Below are 24,159 nucleotides of genomic sequence, written 5' to 3'. Positions count from 1 at the left end.
GGACCTGGGAGGTCGAGGCTGCAATGAGCCATGATTGTGCAACTGCACTCCAGCCTGGGCAATGGGGTGAGACCTTGTATCAAAAAAAAAAAAAAAAAAAAAAAAATTCCACCAAGTTCCAGAAAACAAACCTTGAATTTGCTCTGTGCCAAATACTGTGCTGAATCCATGTGAATGAAGTGATGCATAGGCATTGCATTAGGTATTATAAGTAATCTAGAAGTGATTTAAAGTATACAGAAGGATGTGTGTAGGTTATATGCAAATACTACACCATTTTATATAAGAGTCTTGAGTATTCATGGAGTTTGGTATCTGCAGGGGGTCCCGGAACCAATCTCCCATGGTTACCGAGAGACAAGTGAAGTTATCTAATTATCTGTAACAAATTACCTCCCGAAATAGTGGCTTAAAACAAACATTTATTATCTCATAGCTGTTATGAGACAGAAGTCTGGGCGCAGCTTAGCCTCATCACGTGGCTCAGCGTCTCTCATGAGGTTGCTGTCAAGGTGTCAGCAACTGAAAGGCTTGACTGGGGCTGCAGGATCTGCTTCCAATCTCTCTCATGAGGTTGTTGTCAGACCTCAGTTCCTTGCTGGCTGTTGGCTGGATATCTCAGTTCCTCAACACATAGGCCTGTCCATAGGCTTTAAGTGTCCGAACACAGCAGTTGGCTTTTTTCCCAGGGTGAATGTTCATCTCTGTAGCAGTGAGACATAACTTCGGCAGTATTATAAATGAGGCAGAATACTGACCACCTGTAGACCAGGAAGGGGAGTATTCAAGGCTGCGAATGCCAGGAGGTGGGGATTATTGAGGCCATCTCAGAGGCTAGCTACCAAACAGATTTTTCTGATTATCCCTTGTCTTGACTAGTACCTCTACCATCCCTCGATTTCTTAGTGTAAAAACTTTGGATTCATGTTTTAGATGCTGTTCCTTATTCACCAGTACTGTTTTATCAATCCTATCCATCACCAAGTTACAGAATCTACCAACTTAATGTCATTTGCATCTTTGTTATTCTTATCTTATTACTGTTGCTTTGGTTCTGGCTCTTAGCATCTATTGTCAGGGCATTTTCAATGACTGTTGCTTTTTATTTTATTTCACTTTTATGTAGGCTGATTCATATGGAATTGTCATTTTTGAAGTCAATTTTGGCAGTGTATTAGTCAGCTTGGGCTGCCATAACAAAATATCATAGACTGGCTTAAACAACAGAGATTTATTTTCTCAAGGCTCTGGAGACTGGAAGTCCAAGATCAGGGCATCAGCATGGTCAAGTTCTGGTGAGGGCTCTCTTCCCCGTGTGTAGATGGCTGCTATCTCCCTGTGTGCTCACATGACCTCTTCCTCTTTTTATAAGAACACTAATCCCATCATGAATGCTCCACCCTCATGACCTCATCTACACCTACTTATTTCCCAAGGTCTCATCTTTAAATACCATCACACTGGGAGTTACGGTTTCAACATACACATTTTGGGGAGAAGGTGGGAACACAATTCAGTCTGCAGCAGGCAATTTCAAATGGTTCAACCTAACAGTTGTCTGCAAAAGTAGTACATGTTCATGACAGTGAATGAAAAAATAAAAAAAGCTTAAAAAGATGAAAATCAAAATCACTCAATTTCACCACCTAGAGATAAGCTCTGATTATATATATATATATTTTTGTATTTTCCAGTTTTTAAATGCATACACCTTTCTGAAGAAGGCAGTTTTACCATATATTTAATTTTGTATTCTGCTTTTTCAATTAACATTAATCCTTGGGCAATTTTCCATGTCAGTGAATATTTAAAAAAAAATTTTAAATAGCAGTGACATATTTCATTTATTTGTTGCTTTTTTGATTGGACATGAAAGTGGTTTCTAGTTTTTCAGAAATAAGACTGAAAGAAGGAACATCACTGAACATACACTTTTGTCTGCATCTCTGTACTTTTACTGTAGATTCCTACACATAGAATTACTGGATCAAAGGGCGTAAACTTTTTCAGTATTATTTCTAAATTTCTTACTTGACTTACATTATTGCAAGTAGCTTTTTACAAATTTACCAATTTATAGCTTACCACCAGGATATTCTTTTTCTTTTTTTAAAAAAATGGTAATTTAATAGGCCAAAAAAAAATGTGTCTGATTGCTAACAATGACCTCCTCACTGATCTTTCTGGAGTCATATCCCACTCCAGTCAAGCCTCCATAGTGCTTCCAGATTTTTCTCTAAAATTCGAACTTGATCACATTGCTTGCCCTGTTAAAGCCAATTATTTGCTCCCCACTGCTTGTCACATTAAGTCCTAGGTCTAGAGAAGGTTTCATCAGCTCTTTCATAACATGGCTTTTGTCTACAGTTCCAGTCTCGTTGTTAACCTCTCTCCTGTATTCTCTCCTCCAGTAATGTTAAACCACTTACAGTTTCTAAACTGCCATGTTTTACAATTTTTCTTTTCACATGCTGTTCCCTCTCTCTTGACTGTCTTTCCCCACTTGGTTTGAGCACTCACAAAGTCTGTTGAGAGAGAAGGCAGGAGATGGATGAAGTGCTCCATTCCTGGAAATGGGGGTGCTGCTGTGATCAGCATTATACTGGGTCTTCCTATCACTGTCCCCATGGAGAAGTGTTCCAGTCCTTCACATGGCAACCACACAACTGTCTTCTTCCAAACTCCTTACATCATGATGTGTCTTCTTATAGTCATTTCTTCCAAACAGCTTTCTAACAATTTTTGTTTATTTTCCCTGCCTGCAGTGGTATTTATGCTGCTCTTCATAATGCCAAAAATTATCTTTCAGTCCCTATTTACCTGATTCTGTCTTCTCAAACATTTCCTGAAGGCACCCTGAACCTCTATAGGACTTGCATTTTGATGTCTAATGTAGTGCTGTCACTTTGCTATGGGTAGATCTAGTATGGATGTATCATTTTCATAACTGTGGTTAAGCATTTCATGTCAAAACTGCTTTTGAGGACACAAAATAAATTGCCAGTACACAAAATAATGGCAGAAAGATAAGCAAAAACATGTATTGTAGAACACTCTCAACTCAGAGTGTAGTGAATGGTAGAATGCAGTAATAGGGGACTCCCATTCATTGGCTGAGAGCAGCTGGTATACAGGTATACAGGGCTGGTTACAGGTACACTACACCAAACTGTTAATGTTTATTAGCTATATGCCTACAAAACACTCAAGAATTTGGAAAATTTTAATTTATAATACACTGAAATAGATCATTATTACATATGTATTTGCATATTTTTAAAGAAACTATGGTAGAGATAAATAGCTTCTTGAAGAATCAGTGCTGAATAGAGCATTGTTCAACATGGTATGTGTGATAGAAACTAAGTCCTATTTGTATTTAAAACTGTGCAAGTTATCATCCCCTCTAGGAAATCTCTTCCGACACTTAATTTCCTCTGGGCCTCCTTATATATGATTGATTTATATTGATTTTTGATTTGCTGAATGGTTGAGGTGACTATAATAAATTACAGTCATGCACTGCATAATGACACTTTGTCAGCAACAGACCACATATCTGAGTGGTCCTATAAGCTTATTTAGTACTGTAGTTCTACCATACCTTTTCTATATTTAGATATGTTTAGATACACAAATACCTACTATGGTGTTACAGTTGCCTACAGTATTCAGGACAGTCATCTGCTGTACAGGTTTACAGCCTAGAAGCATTAGACTATACCACAAAACCTAGGTGTGCAGAAGGCATTGCCATCTAGATTTATGTAAGTGCACTCTATGATGTTTGCACAATGATGGAATCACATAAGGACACATTTCTCAGGATATATCCCCATTTTTAATCAATGCATGACTGTACAGATACGGTCACCATGACCAAACTTTGATTGAATCAAGTAATCACAGAGTTGGGTGGGATCTTAGATGTCATTTTGTCCAGCCTCTCACTCAATAAAGGAAGTGTTTGAGGGTCACATTATGTCAGCTAGGATGGCTTTCATTGTTAGAAAAGTTATCCTTCATGTTGTACAGAAAATTCCCCTCAGTGATAAGGACTTGTTGGTCTGACTTTTAACTCCAAAGAGTGAATCCAATCCCTTTCTCACAAAGTAGACCTTCACACGTTTGAGCCCAGCAAGCACATCTTGTCTTCTCGTTCTCAGGCTAACATCTCCAGTTCCTTAGATGACTACAGTGTGCCTCGTGCACAGTTTTGGTGCTGGTAGAGCAGAGGCTGATCTGGCTTTAGGTCCGGAGAATTTCCAAATTACAAGAGAATGGGAGAGTATTATCCCTTTCATTTCACCGTCGCATTCTGAGTAGCTTATCTGTCAGTTGAACTTTGTGGATTAGTCAGGACTCCTTTGGCTGCCAGTAGCAAAAACCTAATTCAAACCAACTTAAACAAGAAAAGGCTCATGTAACTGGCAAATCTAAGAGGTAGCTTCAGGCAAAATTGGATTCTGGGATGCAATGCCAGCTGGGCTCTGTTCCTCTCCTCATTTCTCCTCTCTGCTTGCCCTTTTGACTTAATTCCTGGGTGGGCAAAATAGCCTGCAGCCCCACACTTGTATCATCATTATGGCTTGTGATCACAGAGAAAGAGGGGCTTTTTAAAAAATCTCTCTGACAAAACATCTGAGGATACTGGCTCAGCTTGGGTCATGTGCCCATCCCCAACCAACCAGTGGCCAAGTAGTATGGAGTGCTTTGGTCAAGTTTGTTTTCTGTGACTACTCCTGCTCCATTACCGTCCTCCACACCCCATAGTCCTCCCCAATTTAAGCCAGAACAAATGTGTGGTCAGAGCCACCAAGATTGACAGAGATTACTATGGAATGGGGTCAGGGCTGGTTATCCAAAGGAAGTGATCCTGGGAAAAGAAGCATATGTCCATCAAGTTACTTAACAGGCTATTCTGGAAAGGCCATGGCTCAAACATTCAATGTCCAAAATGCAGAAATGATATGGCTTGACAAAAGTCAGATGCAATGGTCAGACAGAACACCTTTTTATGATATGTAGGCCATTTTCAACTCAAAGTTTACCTAATGGTAACTAACACAGTATCAGAACTTGAACTATATTTTATTGAGAAAATAACACAGGCTTATATTATTTTTTAAAAGTTGCTTTTCCTGAGGGGTGTGGTATGTTGGTTTATAGTCATAAAATTCATTTGCTTACATGTTTGAGTTATATACTTCATTGTTTGAAGCCAGGTCATACATTCTGTTCCATTTCTAAATCTATTCCGATTTGAAAGATTCCCTGTTGTGAGACTCTTCCTTATGATATTTTAAAAATACATGGAGAGACAGAGGCTGAGCTAGATTAACGCTGTACAAATCTGATTAACATCATCTGCTCTGTTTCAAAGGTCAGGTGCACTCAACGAATTTACTTTGAAATTATTTTGTTTATTTGGTGGGCATATACATCATGAGCTTCCTAAAGGTCAAAAGTAGAGTTTGTTCTTGGATTCTAAAGCAATCTGATTTCCATTTACAGTATGCTTTGGTGACCCTAAATGCAGAAGCAGGCCCAGTTAAGTCATACTTCAGTTTGTGTTTGGTTTAATTTTCCCATGAAGAAAATCCCTGCTAGATTAAGGCAGTGCTGAAATATCATTTTCCCTAAATTACTTCTATCTCCAACTAGGTTCATAAGAGAATGCTACTCATAAGTGACATCTGAACTCTGAATGTTGGTTTCATGCCCATTTTGTTTTCAAAGCTGTGGAAGCATCTTAGTCAGCTAGTTTCTTATCTGAAAATTGAGGCAAAGGTCAAAAAAGTTAGGACTCCTGGGTTTTATTAACATTTACCTGGTAGGGATCCTGAAGCTTTATTAATTAATGTTTGTAAAATCACTGTGCGCTTCGTAGAGAAGAGACTCCAGTAAATTATACAGTCTTATTTACTATTCAAAAAAATTAGGGAGGCGGGCAATTTGGCAGAATAGGAACAGCTCTGGTGTGCAGCTCCCAGCAAGATCAAGGAAAAAGGCAGGTAATTTCTGCATTTCCAACTGAGGTACCCATCTCATTGGGACTGGTTACACAGTGGATGCACCCCACGGAGGGTGAGATGAAGCAGGGTGGGGCGTCTCCTCACCCGGGAAGTGCAAGGGGTTGGGGAATTCCCTCCCCTAGTCAAGGGAAGCTGTGAGGGAATGTGCCTTGAGGAATAGTGCACTCTGGCCCAGATACTATGCTTTTCCCATGGTCTTTGCAACCTGCAGACCAGGAGATTCCCTCGGGTGCCTGTGCCAGCAGGGCCCTGGGTTTCAAGCACATAACTGGGCAGCCATTTGGGCAGACACTGAGCTAGCTGCAGGAGTTTTTTTATTTTTTTCATACCCCAGTGGTGCCTAGAACACCAGCGAGACAGAACCATTCACTCCCCTGGAAAGGGGGATGAAGCCAGGGAGCCAAGTGGTCTAGCTCAGTGGATCCCACCCTCATGGAGCCCAGCAAGCTAAGATCCACTGGCTTGAAATTCTCACTGCCAGCACAGCAGTCTCAAGTCGGCCTGGGACGCTTAAGCTTGGTGGGGGGAGGGGTGTCCGCCATTACTGAGGCTTGAGTGGGTGGTTTTCCCCTCACAGTGTAAACAAAGCCTTGGGAAAGTTTGAACTGGGTAGAGCACACCTGCCTCTTTAGATTCCTCCACTCTGGGTAGGGCATCTCTGAAAGAAAGGCAGCAGCTTCAGTCAGGGGCTTATAGATAAAACTCCCATCACCCTGGGACAGAGCACCTGGGGGAAGGCGTGGCTGTGAGTGCAGCTTCAGCAGACTTAAACATTCCTGCCTGCTGACCCTGAAGAGAGCAGCGGATCTCCCAGCACAGCGCTGGAGCTCTGCTAAGGGACAGACTGCCTCCTCAAGTGGGTCCCTGACCCCCATGCCTCCTGACTGGGAGACAACTCCCAGCAGGGGTCGACAGACACCTCATACAGGAGAGCTTCAGCTGGCATCTGGCGGGTGCCACTTTGGGATGAAGCTTCCAGAGGAAGGAACAGGCAGCAATTTTTGCTGTTCTGCAGCCTCCACTGGTGATACCCAGGCAAAGAGGGTCTGGAATGGACCTCCAGCAAACTCCAGCAGATTGGCAGCAGAGGGGGCTGACTGTTAGAAGGAAAACGAGTGAACAGAAAGGAATAGCATCAATATCAACAAAAAGGACGTCCACACAGAAACCCCATCCAAAGGTCACCAACATCAAACACCAAAGGTAGAAAAATCCATGAAGATGAGAGAAAACTAGTGCAAAAAGGCTGAAAATTCCAAAAACTGGAATGACTCTTCTCCTCCAAAGGATCACAACTCCTCGCTAGCAAGGGAACACAACTGGAAAGAGAATGAGTTTGACAAATTGAAAGAAGTAGGCTTCAGAAGGTGGGAAATAACAAGGTGGGTAATAACAAACTACTCTGAGCTAAAGGAGCATGTTCTAACCCAGTGCAAGGAAGCTAAGAACCTTGACAAAAGGTTAGAGGAATCGCTAACTAGAATAACCAGTTTAGAGAAGAACATAAATGACCTGAGGGAGCTGAAAAACACAGCACAAAAATTTTGTAAAGCATACACAAGTATCAATAGCTGGATCAATCAAGTGGAAAAAAGGATATCAGAGACTGAAGATCAAATTAATGAAATAAAGTGTGAAGACAAGATTAGAGAAAAAAGAATGAAAAGAAATGAACAAAGCCCCCAAGAAATATGGGACTATGTGAAAAGACCAAACCTACATTTGATTGGAGTACCTGAAAGTGACAGGGAGAATGGAACCAAGTTGGAAAACACTCTTCAGGATATTATCCAGGAGAACTTCCCCAACCTAGCAAGAGAGGCCAACATTCAAATTCAGGAAATACAGAGAACAACACAAAGATACTTCTCCAGAAGAGCAACCCCAAGACACATAATCATCAGATTCATCAAGGTTGAAATGAAGGAAAAAATGTTAAGGGCAGCCAGAGAGAAAGGTCGGGTTACCTACAAAGGGACTAACAGTGGATGTCTCTCCAGAAACCCTACAAGCCAGAAGAGAGTGGGGGCCAATATTCAACATTCTTAAAATAATTTTCAACCCAGAATTTAATATCCAGCCAAACAATGCTTCATGAGCGAAGGAGAAAAAAAAATCCTTTACAGACAAGCAAATGCTGAGAGATTCTGTCACTACCAGGCCTGCCTTACAAGAGCTCCTGAAGGAAGCACTAAATATGGAAAGGAAAAACTGATATCAGCCATTGCAAAAACATAACAAATTGTAAAGACCATTGACACTATGAAGAAACCACATCAACTAATGGGCAAAATAACCAGCTAGCATCGTAATGACAGGATCAAATTAATACATAACAATATTAACCTTAAATGTAAATGGGCTAAATGCTCCAGTTAAAAGACACAGACTGGCAAATTGCATAGGGTCAAGACCCATTGGTGTGCTGTATTCAGGAGACCCATCTCACGTGCAAAGACACATATAGGCTCACAATAAAGGGACGGAGTAATATTTACCAAGCAAATGGAAAGCACACACACACAAAAAAGCAGGGGTTGCAATCCTAGTCTCTGATAAAACAGACTTTAAACCAACAAAGATCAAAAAAGACAAAGAAGGGCATTACATAATGGTAAAGGGATCAACACAACAAGAAGAGCTAACTATCCTAAATATACATGCACCAAATACAGGAGGAACCAGATTCATAAAGCAAGTTCTTAGAGACCTACAAAGAGACTTAGACTCCCACACAATAATAGTGGGAGACTTTAATACCCCACTGTCAATATTAGACAAATCAACGAGACAGAAAATTAACAAGGATATTCAGGACTTGAACTCAGCTTGGACAAAGCAGACCTAATATGGATCTACATAACTCTCCACCCCAAATCAACAGAATATACATTCTTCTCAGCACCACATCACACTTATTCTAAAATTGACCACAAAATTGGAAGTAAAGCACTCCTCAGCAAGTGCAAAAGAACGGAAATCATAACAAACAGTCTCTCAGACTACAGTGCAATCAAATTAGAATGCAGGATTAAGAAACTCACTCAAAACTGCACAACTACTTGGAAACTGAACAACCTGCTCCTGAATGACTACTGGGTAAATAATGAAATTAAGGCAGAAATAAACAAGTTCTTTGAAACCAATGAGAACCAAGACACAACGTACCAGAATCTCTGGGACACAGTTAAAGCAGTATTTAGAGGGAAATTTATAGCACTAAATGCCCACAAAAGAAAGCAGGAAAGATCGAAAATTGACACTCTAACATCACGATTAAAAGAACTAGAGAAGCAAGAACAAACAAATTCAAAAGCTAGCGGAAAACAAGAAAGAACTAAGGTCAGAGCAGAAATGAAGGAGATAGACACACAGAAAACCCTTCAAAAAATCAATGAATCCAGGAGCTGGTTTTTTGAATAGATTAACAAAATAGATAGACTGCTAGCTAGACTAATAAAGAAGAAAAGAGAGAAGAATCAAATAGACACAATAAAAAATGATAAAGGGGATATCACCACTGATCCCACAGAAATACAAACTACCATCAGAGAATACCACAAATACCTCTACGCAAATAAACTGGATAATCTAGAAGAAATGGATAAATTCCTGGACACATACACCCTCCCAAGACTAAACCAGGAAGAAGTCAAATCCCTGAATAGACCAATAACAAGTTCTGAAATTGAGGCAGTAATTAATAGCCTACCAACCAAAAAAAGTCCAGGACCAGACAGATTCACAGCCGAATTCTACCAGAGGTACAAAGAAGAGCTGGTACCATTCCTTCTGAAATTATTCCAAACAATAAATACAAAAAGAGGGACTCCTCCCTAACTCATTTTATGAGACCAGCATCATTCTGATACCAAAACCTGGCAAAGACACAACAACAAAAAAAGAAAATTTCAGGCCAATATCCCTGATGAACATTGATAAGAAAATCCTCAATAAAATACTGGCAAACCGAATCCAGCAGCACATCAAAGAGCTTATCCACCACGATGAAGTCAGCTTCATCCCTGGGATGCAAGGCTGATTCAACATACGCAAATCAATAAACGTAATCCCTCACAGAAACAGAACCAATGTCAAAAACCACGATTATCTCAATAGATGCAGAAAAGGCCTTCGATAAAATTCAACACCGCTTCATGCTAAAAATTTTACTCTTAATAAACTCGGTGTTGACGGAATGTATCTCAAAATAATAAGAGCTATTTATGACAAACCCACAGCCAATATCATACTGAATGGGCAAAAGCTGGAAGCATTCCCTTGGAAAACCGGCACAAGACAAGGATGCCCTCTCTCACCACTCCTATTCCACATAGTATTGGAAGTTCTGGCCAGGGCAATCAGGCAAGAGATAGAAATAAAGGATATTCAAATAGGAAGACAGGAAGTCCAATTGTCTCTGTTTGCAGATGACATGATTGTATATTTAGAAAACCCCATTGTCTCAGCCCAAAATCTCCTTAAGTTGATAAGCAACTTCAGCAAATTCTCAGGATACAAAATCAATGTGCAAAAATCACAAGCTTTCCTATACACTAATAATGGACAAACAGAGAGCCAAATCATGTGTGAACTCCCATTCACAATTGCTACAGACAGAATAAAATACCTGGGAATACAACTTACAAGGGTTGTGAAGGACCTCTTCAAGGAGAACTACAAACCACTGCTCAAGGGAATAAGAGAGGACCCAAACAAATGGAAAAACATTCCATGCTCGTGGATAGGAAGAATCAATATCATGAAAATGGCCATAATGCCCAAGGTAATTTATAGATTCAATGCTATCCCCATCAAGCTACCATTGACTTTCTTCACAGAATTAGAAAAAACTACTTTAAAGTTCATATGGAACCAAAAAAGAGCTTGTATAGCCAAGACAATACTACATTTGATCTTAGCCAAAAGACTGAGAAGCAATAGCCAAGACAATCCTATTTAAAAAGAACAAAGCTGGAGGCATTAGGCTACCTGACTTCAAACTAGACTAGATGGCTGCAGTAACCAAAAACAGCATGGTACTGGTACCAAAACAGATATATAGACCAATGGAACAGAACACAGGCCTCAGAAATAATGCCACACATCTACAACCATTTGATCTTTGACAAACCTGACAAAAACAATCAATGGGGAAAGGATTCCCTATTTAATAAATGGTGTTGGGAAAGCACCATTTCTGCATATGCTAGCCATATGCAGAAAACATAAACTGGCCACTTCCTTACATCTTATACAAAAGACATAAAACCATAAAAACCCTAGAAGAAAACCTAGGTAATACCATTCAGGACATAGGCATGGGCAAATCCTGGGTATATACCCAAAGGATTATAAATCATTCTATTATTAAGTCACATGCATACATGTTTATTGCAGCTCTGTTCACAATAGCAAAGACTTGGAACCAACCCAAACACCCATCAATGATAGACTGGATAACGGAAATGTGGCATATATACACTATGGAATACTTTGCAGCCATAAAGAAGGATGAGTTCATGTCCTTTGGAGGGACATGGATGGTTTCCAGAAACCATCATTCTCAGCAAACTAACACAGGAACAGAACCAAACACCGCATGTTCTCACTCATAAGTGGGAGTTGAACAATCAGAACACATGCACACAGGGAGAGGAACATCACACACAGGGGCCTGTCAGGGGTTGGGGTCTGGGGAGGGATAGCATTAGGAGAACTACCTAATGTTGATGATGGGCTGATGGGTGCAGCAAACCACCATGGCACGTGTATACCTATGTAACAAACCTGCATGTTCTGCACATGTATCCCCGAACTTAAAGTATAATAATTAAAAAAAAAAAATCAAGGGTCTAGTTATATACACTAAGTATTTTTTCACTAATTATTTTCAAGGTTTTTTTTCCCCGTACCATATGTACTTTACCAAGATAAAAAGAAAATCTCTCAAGAGTATTTTTGTATTCATGTTCATTAACATTCCAGTGGAATAATAAACCTCAAAACGATTCATGTATGAATCAGTGAGGCATGGCTAATTACAGTTTTCAGCCACACAGCCAATAACATTCACCATGAAATGTGGTGTCTGTTAAATACATCTCTCTGAATTTTTGTTGGGGGAGAGTGGTAGGAAATAGGGAGGTTGAAAATTGCAATTAAAAAATGTCTAAATATTTTAGGGCTTGTACATTATAAATATCTTTCAGGCAAGTATTTATCACAAGCATGACATTCTGTTATCAAAACATGGAAATAAAACCCCACAGATTTGCCTTGAAAACAAAACAAAACAGTACACCGCAGGTCCTGAGAATGGACCATGTTCTATAAGGAAACCGAAGAAACTTCTTGGAACATTAGGAAATATGATTTACCATAAAATTTAAAAATATATTTTACTGAATTTTAGATATGAATTTCCTACTCCTTACAAAATTATCTTTATACTATGACCCTATAGTCCACAAAAGTATTTACAAGACAAAAATTTGAAAAGCATACAGAGACACAGTAAAAGTTGAATATTTCATTACTAAGAACTCAAATATAGAAGCAATTATATAATGAATATTCAAAATCTTCTCTATTACTTTTTTTGTTTAAAATATTTTCCCTGATTTCCATTCATATTGTTAATACCCAAAGACTACATGAATAAAAACACTGATATCTACATTAAAAAATATTTTTAAACTTGTGTTATTTCAATGACATAAATAATACATGGTAAAGAAGTGTATTCGGCATGATAAAAAGTAGAATAAAAGATACTTCAGCCACCAAAGCCATCTCACTCCTCCAACCTTTGTTCACAACAATGAACAATGGGACACTCCTGGAAGTTTTCCACACATGTACAAATAGAGATTCACAATTCTGGATCTGAAATTTTGAAATCCAAAAAGCTTGAAAACCAAAAGATTAACCTGGTGTAAGACTATATTTAGTGTTTGCTTATCCCATATATGTTTTGTTGCAGACATATCAATATGTTTGATGACAGGGTGCTGTCATAAGACTTCTCTAGACGTGTTATATACCAAATGGTATAGACATATACCTTTCTAAAAAACAACAAATTATTAATTTCTAAAACACATCTGTCCTCAAAGTGATTATGAGCCTCAATAATTATGTGTGTGTGTAACACACAATCTTTTTATGTTCACACGAATGGGTCATACTGTATATACTGTCTGATGGCTACATTTATGGACCAGTTTAACATTTGTCCTGGAGATCTTACCATGGCCTACCAAACCCTTCATGATCCGGCCTCTGATTGCCTTTGACCTCCTTTCCATTACTTTTCTTCTCGTTCACTCTTCTCCAGCCACATGGCTTTCTGGCTATTCTTCTACCACGCCAGCATGGTGTATCTTAAGGACTTGTTTGTATCTTAAGGACTTGTGTCTTAAGGACTTTGCACTTACTGTACCGCCTGTTTGGAACTTTCTTGCATAGATTTCCTCATGGCTGCCTCCCACCCCACTTCACTGAGATCTTTGTTCAGATGACATCTCTTCAAAGAGGCCTTCCCTGACCCCCTATGTAAAAGAAGACCACCTATCACTTTCTAGCCTTTCACTCTGCTTTTTTACCGCTAGCATTTATCAACACCTATGATAGACTATACATTTGTATATTAGAGTATGGCTTGTCTACTCTTCTAGAGGTCCCACAAGGGTAGGGATTTTTTTTTTTTCAATGATTTACTCACCATTGCATCCCTGGCATATAGTAAATGCTCAATAAATATTTGTTGAATGATTTTCCCCATTTTGCCTCCAAATTAAGCTATTTATTTTATAGTTACAAGGCTTTCAATTACTTTTACAGCAAACTAGGGAGTTACCTAGGAAACCCTCATGAGCTGGTTCTTGAGACTCTTCTGGTTTCTTTCACTGCTATCCTACTTCCAATTTAGGTTGTAGACTGATTCGTTTACCTGCCTGAACTCTGGTGCTTGCCATGTACTGTTGCCTCTGCCCAGAACCCCTGTCTCTCCTTCACTATAGGTGGCAGAATCCACTCATTCTGGCATTGGCATTGGCTCATATGGGGAATCACATTGATTTGCTCATCTGTTTACATGCTTACAGTATTCACTACCGTACCACTCCAGAGACTGTGTCTTATTCACTTGTGAATTACAGCCTCTAACACAATGGCTCGCAGAGTAACCCTCAATATATAAAACACGGAACTGAATTGAAACTGCACTCTCCTCTACTATATTTTTTAGTTTTTAGAAAATGCTTTTAATGGGTCTTATCTTCTAGAATGATGAAATGTCTTTAAAGCTGCAGTGAAACCAGGGCAATAAGTTTAGAGCCATAATTTCTTGAAAGAGAGTGATGAAAAATCATCGCTTAATTCTGAGCCACCCTACTGAGATCACAGCTTGGACACTGAGCTTAGTTTTATGCACCTTATGTTCTAGGTAACTGGAAGATGATTGCAAAAGATGGCACTAAGAAGGATTAAGTGTGATTATTTATGAGGCACAGTTAAAAGCAGACAGCATGCATATGTTCACAAGCTATAGGGAATAGACAGATCTCTAAATATCTGATGAACAAATCTACCCAAGGAATACATTTAACACAGAACAACAAAGGGAGAAATAAGATGACAGAAAAAAAAAACATAGGTGAAAAATTTAGAAAATTTTCAGCACATCATAAGATGGCTCTTACTGGCAACCAGAATTCTCCAATGGTAGCCAAAAAGCTTAATGATCACAGGTTAAGAAATGTGTGAAGCAGACTAGAGCATTTGGGTACGACTGAGTTTCCCAAACTTTCTATACTTTGTATTACAAAAATAATGCATTGTTTCTCCTTTTTTCTAATATAATATTTTTGTATTAGATATTATTTTTTCAAATAAATTTGTAATAAATTACAAATAAATAAAGATTCTTGTCTGAAGGTCTGAATTATGACCTGTAACATATGGCTAAGATGAATTATGCAGAGGGTTGAACTCTTTGACCTCTACGGACTTTTTAGTTTTGAAATTCTGTTTCCATGGTAAAGATTTCCTTGTAGGCCATGTGTGCTTGAAGAGGATGCTGTTGGAAGTGTTTGACTAAAGCCAGAGAACATTATGTGACCTCCAGTTTTTCTACACACAAGGATGGCCCCAAGCTTCGTGATAATGGGGGGTTATGGTGTAGTTACCAGTGCCTCTTACCTTTATGATTTAGTTGAATGATACAAATGGTACAAATGTCAGGCTCTTCTAGTACTTACCCTGTTTACTTTTTGTAGCCATAATATAGTCATTTGTTAACCACATATTTATTGAGTGCTGACTAATGAATAACACAAAAATAAAGTTTGTTTTTTTTTTTTTTTTGAGATGGAGTCTCGCTCTGTCACTTGGGCTGGAGTGCAGTGGCACAATCTTGGCTCACTGCAGCCTCTGCCTCCCAGGCTCAAGTGATTCCTTGCCTCAGCCTCCCAAGTAGCTGGGACTACAGGTGTGAGCCACCATGCCTGGCTAATTTTTGTATTTTTGGTAGAGATGGGTTTTCACCATGTTGGCCAGGCTGGTTTCAAACTCCTGACCTCGTGATCTGCCCACCTCGGCCTCCCAAAGTGCTGGGATTACAGGCATGAGCCACCGTGCCTGGCCTGAAAACAAAGTTCTTACCTTCATGGAGTTTACCTTTTGTTTGAAGGAGACAGATGATAAACAAAAGGACAAATAAATGTGGGTATAATTTCAAGTAAAGATATTTGCTATGAAGAAGTACTATAATGGCACAATCCACAGAAGTCTTTCACAAAATTGTCTTCTGGGTCTAAAAGTCACCCAGATCTTGATGCTACCTTCTTAAAATATCCACACCCTTTACTCATGTTTCAAGACCATAAAATGAAAAACACAATGTTTTTAACACGTTTCTTTAAATGTCCTTTTCCCCTTTTCTTAATCTTCTTTCTCCTTGCACTACCATGCCCCAAAGCTCCCAAAGCACCCTCCTTAAATGCCCAAAGAGTTCCTATTCCCCAGTGTAAATGAGGCTTCTGCTATTGTTTGGTTTGTATGTCTTAGTGAGGATTTAGAAAGTACAATCTATCTTAATTGTTGATGAGTGATAGAAGGTGGTAGGCTGCTTGGGCTTTTTGTATTTATCTACTTAGTTTCTGACTTATTCTTATTCTGTTAGTTTCAGTGACATGAGCTTGTGGTAAACCAAAGCCACCTGTAGCAGATATTATTGGTGCCCCGCCAGTATGCTATATTCCCTTACTATTTCAGCGTATACCAATGTGACTCTTAATTCTTCTATCTCTGGCTTTCTGTGGCCACTGAGGCAACTCTGTCTACTCTTGGAGCATTGCAGACAAGCCAGGGTCTTAATAATCCCTGAAAGCTGCCCCCAATCATTGACTGACGGTAGTTGGTGTTTAAACAACCCAGTTATCTTGTCCTCTTGGTGGAATCACTCAGTCTAAGGTACATGTTCCATATTGTTTCCCAGAGATTTCTAGGAGGATTAAGTTCTGGGTGCCTCTAGCGGTAATGTGCTAGATAAGGCATCTTTTTGGTCTTCTCTTCCCTATTTCACTTTCTTAGTCTCTTACTGGTGTTTCCTGCGATAACCTCCTAAATAAAATACTTGCTCTTGAATACCTGTCTCCAGATCTGCTTCTGGGAGAACCCATACTAAGGTGGTTATTAATTCAGTCAAGTTGCAGATCAGACAGTAACCTCCCACTGATTGTCTTGGCACTTGAAGGTCCTGAATCCAATGCAAGTTCTATGTCTTCATGCTCTTTGTGAATGTATCTGTTGCTCAAGGTCGTGGGTGACCTTGAGCCCAGCAGTCAGCATTATCCACAGCTGAAGTAATACCTATGTGCTCATATTAGGCTATCTGACAACAGTGCAATAATCATTAGACACCACTGTTTAGACCCTGAGTATGTTCATGACATTTGCCTTTTGACTGCTAAGTAGAAGATGTAATGATTATAGGCTGATGCTTTCTCAGGAGGAGGAAAGTTATTGAGCTTTACAGTTTCAAATGCTTCTGATTTTCTTCCACGTTTAGTCTGGCTGCTGACACATGTGTTGAAATCTCTCATGTCGATCAGCTTGAGAATAGCTGGGACTGCTGAGCTAAGTCTGTGCTCATAAAAGCAACAAAGAATTGTATTACAGGAAATGACCCCAAATTGACAGAAGATTAGGCTAGGAAGCCTGAACAGGTGTTTTAATCTCTATGCACAAAATCAGTCTGTACATATATTGCTCACATTCCTGCTGTTTTAACTATATTTTTTTTTTCAATTTCACTTTGTTATTCACAATTTGATAATATTTTATGTGGCCATGGTGTCTGTGTGATGAACTATAATCCAATGTGACATTCTCTGAGAGTCAAGCTTCCAAGGACATCAGATTTTCACACCAGGACACTTTGTAGGACACCTTGCTACTCTCCATGGGATTCAAATATTAGAAATAATGAGAGATCTAAGACTTGATGTAATTGCCTGCATGTAATGAATCAGGCCAAATAAAAAAGTGAGAGACAGAGAAAGGAAATGGTGCTAAGGAAAATGGGGACCTATCTTAGTGTTTGTCTGAGAGAAAACTGCTCTTTGTTTTTCCCGATGTAATGGCAAGAGTCTGCAGCCAGGAATCTAGTCCTTGCTTAGGAGCTGCATGACCTTGTGAAAATTACGTAGGTGTTCTGCAATTTGTAATTGCATTTATTGTAAAATTAATTTTACTTTTCATACGTCACTAGACAGAGCATTTTGAGGTTAGGAATTGGGTCTGAATCAATGATTTCTCCAGCACCCACATGGCATTTGGCACAGAATACATCAATAATGATTTTGGATTAAACAGGGGAACAAGCACAAGGAACCATGGTGGTCAGAAACGGGTTGATCTGCACCAGAGAAAGGGAGACTAGGGGAGAAAGGTCACTCTAGATTTCGTTCAATTATTGAAAATACGGTGTATTTACTATGTGCTGGGCACTTTTCTAGGTGCTAGAAAGACTACAGTGACCAAAACAAAAATCCACATCTGCAGGGATCTTGCATTCTAGTGAGAAAGTAAGATGGTAAAAAAGATAAATACGTAAATTTTATACAATGCTTCGTAACGACAAATGCTAAGGAGAAAAACAGCACAGAAAAGACAGAAAGGAAAAGAGAAGGGGCGCATGTGGTGCAATTTTGTTAGGATGCCAGGGAGGGCTGAGCGTAGTCGTAAATGACCACATTATTTGATGGATCAAGCCAGGGACTGCAAGTCTGTGTTTCTGAGAGACACATAAAGAAAAGAAGGCTTAAGGAATCCAGAAAGATCCAGAGTGGGGAAATGAAACGAAAAGAAATCCAGCCAGTGGGAAGTCGTGAAGGGATAGTTAAACGCGTTTTGGGAGGAAAGAAAAAAGCAAAAGTGCGGTACAGCCTTTCGTTACACGTGAAAAGAATCATGTTTCTTTTTCTAGTTAGAAAAAGCCAAAGATTGTGCGATTTATGCCCCAAACCCCCTTGTAAGGGGATTCTCACCTCAACTTGTCTTCTGTGGTCAGTGTTTCCCGCCCCTGAATCAGGGTTACTGTCACTATGGCTTTCAATTGGCCCGGCGTAGGCGCATGCTCTGCGCGTATTGGCCTCCGCTCCTGTCCCCAGACAAGCGGCCATCTTGGGTCCCGCCCCTACCGTGGGGTCTTCTGGGAATTGCAGTCCCCGCTCTGCTCTGTCCGGTCACAGGACTTTTTGCCCTCTGTTCCCGGGTCCCTCAGGCGGCCACCCAGTGGGCACACTCCCAGGCGGCGCTCCGGCCCCGCGCTCCCTCCCTCTGCCTTTCATTCCCAGCTGTCAACATCCTGGAAGGTAGGGGCGGGGAGGCAAGCCCAAGTGGAATACTGTTTCTGGGGCGCGGGTCTGGGTTTCCACGCGCGTCAGGTCATCACCCCGGAGCCCAGTGGGGCCGGCGCCGCTCACGGGGCGGTGGGCTTCTGTCCCGAGTACTCTTCCGCCCCACGAGGGTCTCAGGGTGGGGACTCGGGCCCCCCAATTCCCAAGCACCGACCCTAGCCCTAACCCGTTCCTCCTCCACCGTGTTTATACATTGGGGAAACTGAGGCACGGGGCCACGCCAGCGGGTCCGGGGACGCCACAGCTCTTGGCTCTGGGGGTGTAGTCGGCACCCGCCGTTTTGGGATGGTTCGTCAGTTTCATAGACAAGTAGCGAAAATCCGTCCCAACAGGTCTGTGTTAAACACGCAGCTCTGGATTCCCCTAAGGGGTTGCTGAACACGTGCCCAGGACAGGAGCAAACCGGAGTATAGAGAAGGCAGCATTTTGGGAGATAATTTTACATTACTACTTCAAAAACAGGCAAAGAGGCATCGAATTTATTGTTGTGGGAGAACTCATCGGTACTTGGTCGGACTTTCTTACACTTATTTTATGGTTGTTGTTTTTATTTTTAGCGTCAAAGGGGGGAATTTTAAAGGTATATCCAAGTTGGTGGTGGTGGGGGGTAAGGAGGCAGGTTAGTGGAACTTGAGATGCATCTGCAGATTTCTCTGTAGGCTCACATTCTGCCCTCGCTGTGTTACCTTGGAACAGCCACTCACAGCGCTTATCTGGGAAACAAGGAGCTCAATGCTCCCAGGTCAAGTGGCCAAAGGATGTTGCCTGAAGCCGAAATCTAAATTGAGGTTATGCTTGTGAAAGTTTACCACTTGCAGATTTACTGCTATTATTATTCTGGTCTCTCAGAAATGTGCTGGGACCAATAGAAAATACTCACAGTGGTTGTTTTAGTAAGGTTCTGACCTGGGCCGGGCCCAGACTACCAAGGGTGGTCCCTACTCGCACCTGATGTTAAGCCGGATCTACCTGAACTCTCCCTCCTTGGCTTCAGCCTGCGGCCTGAGGCCTTGGCCGCGGAGGCTTCTGGGAGTTGCAGTCCCGCCTCTTGTTTCTCGTCGGGCAGGTACTCCACCTCGTGGCGTGCCATTTTGCACGGCGAGATGTCTCCTGGGAGACGAAGTCTCGCTTCTAGCCGTTCTGTAGAGCAGCCGCTTGACTCGGAACTACAACTCCCATGTGGACCTGCGTTCATGGCTGCCGGCCTGTGTCCACCTGCTGCAACCTGGACTAGAAATATTTAGTAAAGAAAGAAGTCTAGGGTTTGTGTGTGTGTGTGTGTGTGTGTGTGTGTGTGTGTGTGTGTGTGTGTGTGTGTGTGTTGTTATTGATTGCATATGCTGTTCTAAGTGTTAGATATGGGATTGTTGTATACGGTGTTCCAAGTATTAACGTACATGCTTCCAAAACCACTAACACTTGACCATTTAGAACCTGTTCACATGATCTCTTTTTAATACTACATTTCCCATTTGTATATGAGAAAAAACTTGAGAAGATAGCCCATGATTACACAGCTAGCAATATAATATATATTCAATAAAATATATGTGTTATAATTTAATCCTCTTAAAAGCTATATGAGAGTGAGAACCATTTTTATATCAACTTTACAGATTAGAAAACTAAGGCTAGGAAAGTTAAGTAACTTGTTCAAGTTAAAACACTGGTGAATAAAAGGACTGAGACTGTAAGCCCTTCTGCTTAACAGTCTCTGCTTAGAGAAAGACCTTACCTTACAGAGCTGAGGAGGAGTCCAACCTTTCTGGCTACAGAATTTGGAATCTTTTAATTATACCATGCTGCCTCTGTACTTAGATACTAAACATTTGAGCTGCAAAAACCTTTGAGATCATTTAATTCTAATGCAAAGATCTTGGAACACTTCTTGGCCTATAATAAAGATTCCATATATATATGTATATAGTTTTAGAATACCTTTATTTTAGAGATTAGGAAACTGGCCCAGGTGGTAAAGCAGTTTGCCCAAGGTCACACAGTTGGTTTGTGTCAGAGATTAGACTAGAACCAAGCATCTTATTTTCAAGTCCAGGGTTATTTTCATTCCACCAGCAGTCAGCTAGCAGGAACACCAGATGTGTAGCTCTTTAGATAATGGTTTCTCCTCTAATTTGCTCTTTCAAGGCCACAGACCAGGACCAATTGTTATAAATTATCTTATTTATTATTGGTAAGGTTGTAATACTTCATGAATTCAACAAATGTTTTTTGAGCTTCTTTATATGGTCATCTCTCTTAAGGTGCAAGGACCACATAGATGATAAGGACTTAATGCATTCAGACTGGAAGGACCTTATAAATAATCTAATCTAACTCTTATTTTATAAATGAGGAGAGTGTGTTACGAAGTAGTCTGCAATCTTCATCTCATGCCCTCATGTCAAAAGTATCCCGTTTCTGCAAGAAGGCAGGTTTCTGGAGTCCTCACAGTAGTGTGGATAACCTTTTTAGGCTTATGCTTTTCTATTTGGTATCCTTGTCTTGGCCTTTTTCCTGCAGCCTTTGATAGAATGCTTTAGGAAATGTTTTTGTGTCCCCATCTTTATTTGTGTGTTTATGCAACTTCAACATGCTCTGTTTCTATTTTGGAAGTTAGTCTGGTTTTGGCTCCCATTACTCTTTTCTCTTTTGTTCTTTCAGACACTTGAGAACAAATTCTGACACTATGTTTGCATTCACATGTTAAAATCTGACCCTCTAATATGAACTCTCAGAAATCTATCAAGTTGTGACTTTCATTTTGGAAGACATATTGGCCCTTTCAATTATGTATTCACAGATAATAAGGCAGGTAACTCTGGTCTCTTCTGAAAGATGATTTCCATATAGTTAGGTAATAAAGTAACAGTTTTATGAATTATTGGCTAAACATTCCTGAAACAGTCTATTTGAGAAGTTCTCCTCATCACCCCCATGCCCCCACCCCCACGCTCTCCCAACTGATAGTCTGATCATTCAGCTTCCACCACAGTGCCTGACCACCAGTAGACACTGAAAAAGTACTTGTGGCATTGCATTCATAAGCACCCTGTTCCCACATCTCTTCATTGAATCTGTTTACTCTTTTAATGCAGAAGTGCAGCTTTGAAATATAAGATGTAGGAGGTTACTTTGCTTTCAACATGTACATTGCAGAGAAAAATCTCAGCCTTTGAGATCATTCTCCAAGGGGTTGTCTCTTTGGGAATGTCCATATCTGTGACTTCTCAGATGAGAAAGTGATCTATATAGTAAGACATAGCAGAGAAGCAGTAGAGGGGTTGTCTGGGGACCCATGATTTAATTCCCAGCTGTGCCTTTTAGACAGGTTACTTAGCCCTTGGTTTTCTCTCTTAAAATAGGGATAATAAGCATTTCTACCTCACAGTGATGATGAAGAAGAAAGTGTGTTTAAAGCTTTGAGCATGTTGTCAGGCTCTTAACAGCTTGCAGTCAATAGATAAATATAATAGCTCTTATTTTTGTTATTGTAAGCCTGATATATGAAAATTCACATTTCCTCAAGATTTAAAACTTTAAGCAGGTATTTATATTATAAAAGGATTTGTTTGCCACTTGTTTTCTTAGAGTAGCACACTTGGTCATCACATTTAAAATATGAAGTTCCTCACAACTCTTGATAACCTGTCTTGTCAGCACAGTGACACTCTCTTGTGTGGGCAGAGAGACAGTGAAGCTTTTGGCTCGGTACTGCCTGCTGAGAGGCCCCTGATCTATGGTTCCACCTATATATTAAATCCTTGATTTAAAAGCAGCCTGTTTCTGTCAGTGGGGCCTTCTGTCCATCTCTAGAAAGGATTGGTCCTATCCCAGGAGGCTCAGGGTTAGAGTGAGGCAGTTGTCATCCAGCTGGTGAGTAATCCTGGGGCAATGACCGTGGGGATGTGGCAGTGCTTCTTTCTAAAGCTGACAACTTCAATAGCCATGAGGTTACGATAAGGAGGTGAGTTACTGAAAAGAAGTGATGCAGGGAACAGGGAAGGAGCAACAGGAATGAGGATCACAGCAACAGCAGAGGAGAAGGACAAAGGAAACAGCGGAGGCCCTCAGTATCCTAAACATATTTTTATTCAGCACATTTATCTTGCTCCTAGCTCTGTTCCAGGCACTGCATCTGCTCTGGTGAGAGCAGTAAATGGGGCTGGTAGGGAGGCACTGATGGGGTGAGTGAGGGTATATTCTCGGCAGGGAAGAACCTAGTACAATGGAGGACAGGAGGGAGGGAGGGAGGGGATGTTGGGATTTGATGAGCAGAAAGAAGGTCTGTGTGCTTAGGGTATGAAAATCAATGGCTGGAGGAGGTGGAGAGAATAAGGCTGCAGAGGTGAGCCTGAGTAATAGATATGTTTTTCTTTTTTTAAATTTTTTTAAAATTTTACTTTAAGTTCTGGGATACATGTACAGAATGTACAGGTTTGTTAATAGGTATACATGTGCCGTGGTGGTTTGCTGCACCTGTCAATCTGTCATCTAGGTTTTAAGCCCTGCATGCATTAGGTATTTGTCCTAATGCTCTCCCTCCCCTTCCCCCTCTACCCCACAACAGGCCCCGGTGTGTGATGTTCCCCTCCCTGTGTCCATGCGTTCTCATTGTTCAACTCCCACTTATGAGTGAGAACGTGTGGTGTTTGCTTTTCTGTTCCTGTGTTAGTTTGCTGAGAATGGTGAGCCTGAGTAATACTATGCAGAGTCCGGTTACCTGCATTTCGACCTTATTCCGAGGGCATTTGGGAAATTGTTTAATGGCCTTAAATGGGGAAATGAAATTGTTGGATTTGTTTTCATAAAAGTATGGATGTATAGCTATGTATTGTATTATTGAAGATTACTTAGAGTGTAGACTTTAAGTGTTCTTGTTCCCAGAAAGGGGTCTTGATCCAGACCCCAAGAGAGGGTTCTTGGGTCTTATGCAAGAAAGAATTCAGGGCAAGTCCACAGAGTAAAGTGAAAGCAAGTTTATTAAGAAAGTAAAGGAATAAAAGGATGGCTACTCCATAGACGGAGCAGTCCTGAGGGTGGCTGGTTTCTCATTTTTATGGTTATTTCTTGATGATATGCTAAACAAGGCATGGATTATTCGTGACTCCTCTTTTTAGACCATATAGGGTAACTTTCTGACATTGCCATGGCATTTTTAAACTGTCATGGCGCTGGAGGGAGTATAGCAGTGAGGACGA

General features: G+C 40.6%; 1 protein-coding gene and 1 long non-coding RNA gene across 9 annotated transcripts in view, besides 5 other annotated features; one reads left to right on the top strand and one right to left on the bottom strand.

Annotated features, from left to right (window-relative positions):
• Positions 1-402: 402 nt before the first annotated feature.
• On the bottom strand, positions 403-18,625 carry LOC124909387 (uncharacterized). Its single transcript, XR_007095939.1, has 2 exons — positions 18,590-18,625; positions 403-4,876 (listed from the first exon to the last, which is right to left on the bottom strand). It is a non-coding gene; the product is annotated as an uncharacterized LOC124909387 (long non-coding RNA).
• Positions 18,668-18,962: an enhancer, noted in NCBI's record as "tiled region #9847; HepG2 Activating DNase matched - State 1:Tss, and K562 Activating non-DNase unmatched - State 1:Tss". NCBI's record gives its function as "activates a minimal TATA promoter and a strong SV40 promoter by Sharpr-MPRA in HepG2 and K562 cells {active_cell/tissue: HepG2 | K562}" and the evidence as "EXISTENCE:reporter gene assay evidence [ECO:0000049][PMID:27701403]".
• The window catches only part of FHIT (fragile histidine triad diadenosine triphosphatase), a 1,504,176-nt gene continuing 1,498,781 nt past the window's right edge, over positions 18,765-24,159 (top strand). For all 8 annotated transcript variants that reach the window (NR_148921.2, NR_148922.2, NM_001354589.2 and 5 more), the window contains exon 1: positions 18,765-18,916. The gene's annotated coding sequence lies outside the window, so the exon portion shown is untranslated. The remainder of the gene's footprint in view (positions 18,917-24,159) is intronic.
• Positions 19,027-19,086: an enhancer, noted in NCBI's record as "active region_20027". NCBI's record gives its function as "activates an Ori minimal core promoter by ATAC-STARR-seq in GM12878 lymphoblastoid cells {active_cell/tissue: GM12878}" and the evidence as "EXISTENCE:reporter gene assay evidence [ECO:0000049][PMID:35858748]".
• Positions 19,217-19,346: an enhancer, noted in NCBI's record as "active region_20026". NCBI's record gives its function as "activates an Ori minimal core promoter by ATAC-STARR-seq in GM12878 lymphoblastoid cells {active_cell/tissue: GM12878}" and the evidence as "EXISTENCE:reporter gene assay evidence [ECO:0000049][PMID:35858748]".
• Positions 19,487-19,616: an enhancer, noted in NCBI's record as "active region_20025". NCBI's record gives its function as "activates an Ori minimal core promoter by ATAC-STARR-seq in GM12878 lymphoblastoid cells {active_cell/tissue: GM12878}" and the evidence as "EXISTENCE:reporter gene assay evidence [ECO:0000049][PMID:35858748]".
• Positions 19,897-20,176: an enhancer, noted in NCBI's record as "active region_20024". NCBI's record gives its function as "activates an Ori minimal core promoter by ATAC-STARR-seq in GM12878 lymphoblastoid cells {active_cell/tissue: GM12878}" and the evidence as "EXISTENCE:reporter gene assay evidence [ECO:0000049][PMID:35858748]".

The sequence above is a fragment of the Homo sapiens genome, chromosome 3 (genome assembly GCF_000001405.40).
Source record: "Homo sapiens chromosome 3, GRCh38.p14 Primary Assembly".
NCBI classification, from domain to species: Eukaryota; Metazoa; Chordata; class Mammalia; order Primates; family Hominidae; genus Homo; species Homo sapiens.
This window is presented reverse-complemented; position numbering and strand designations above follow the sequence as displayed.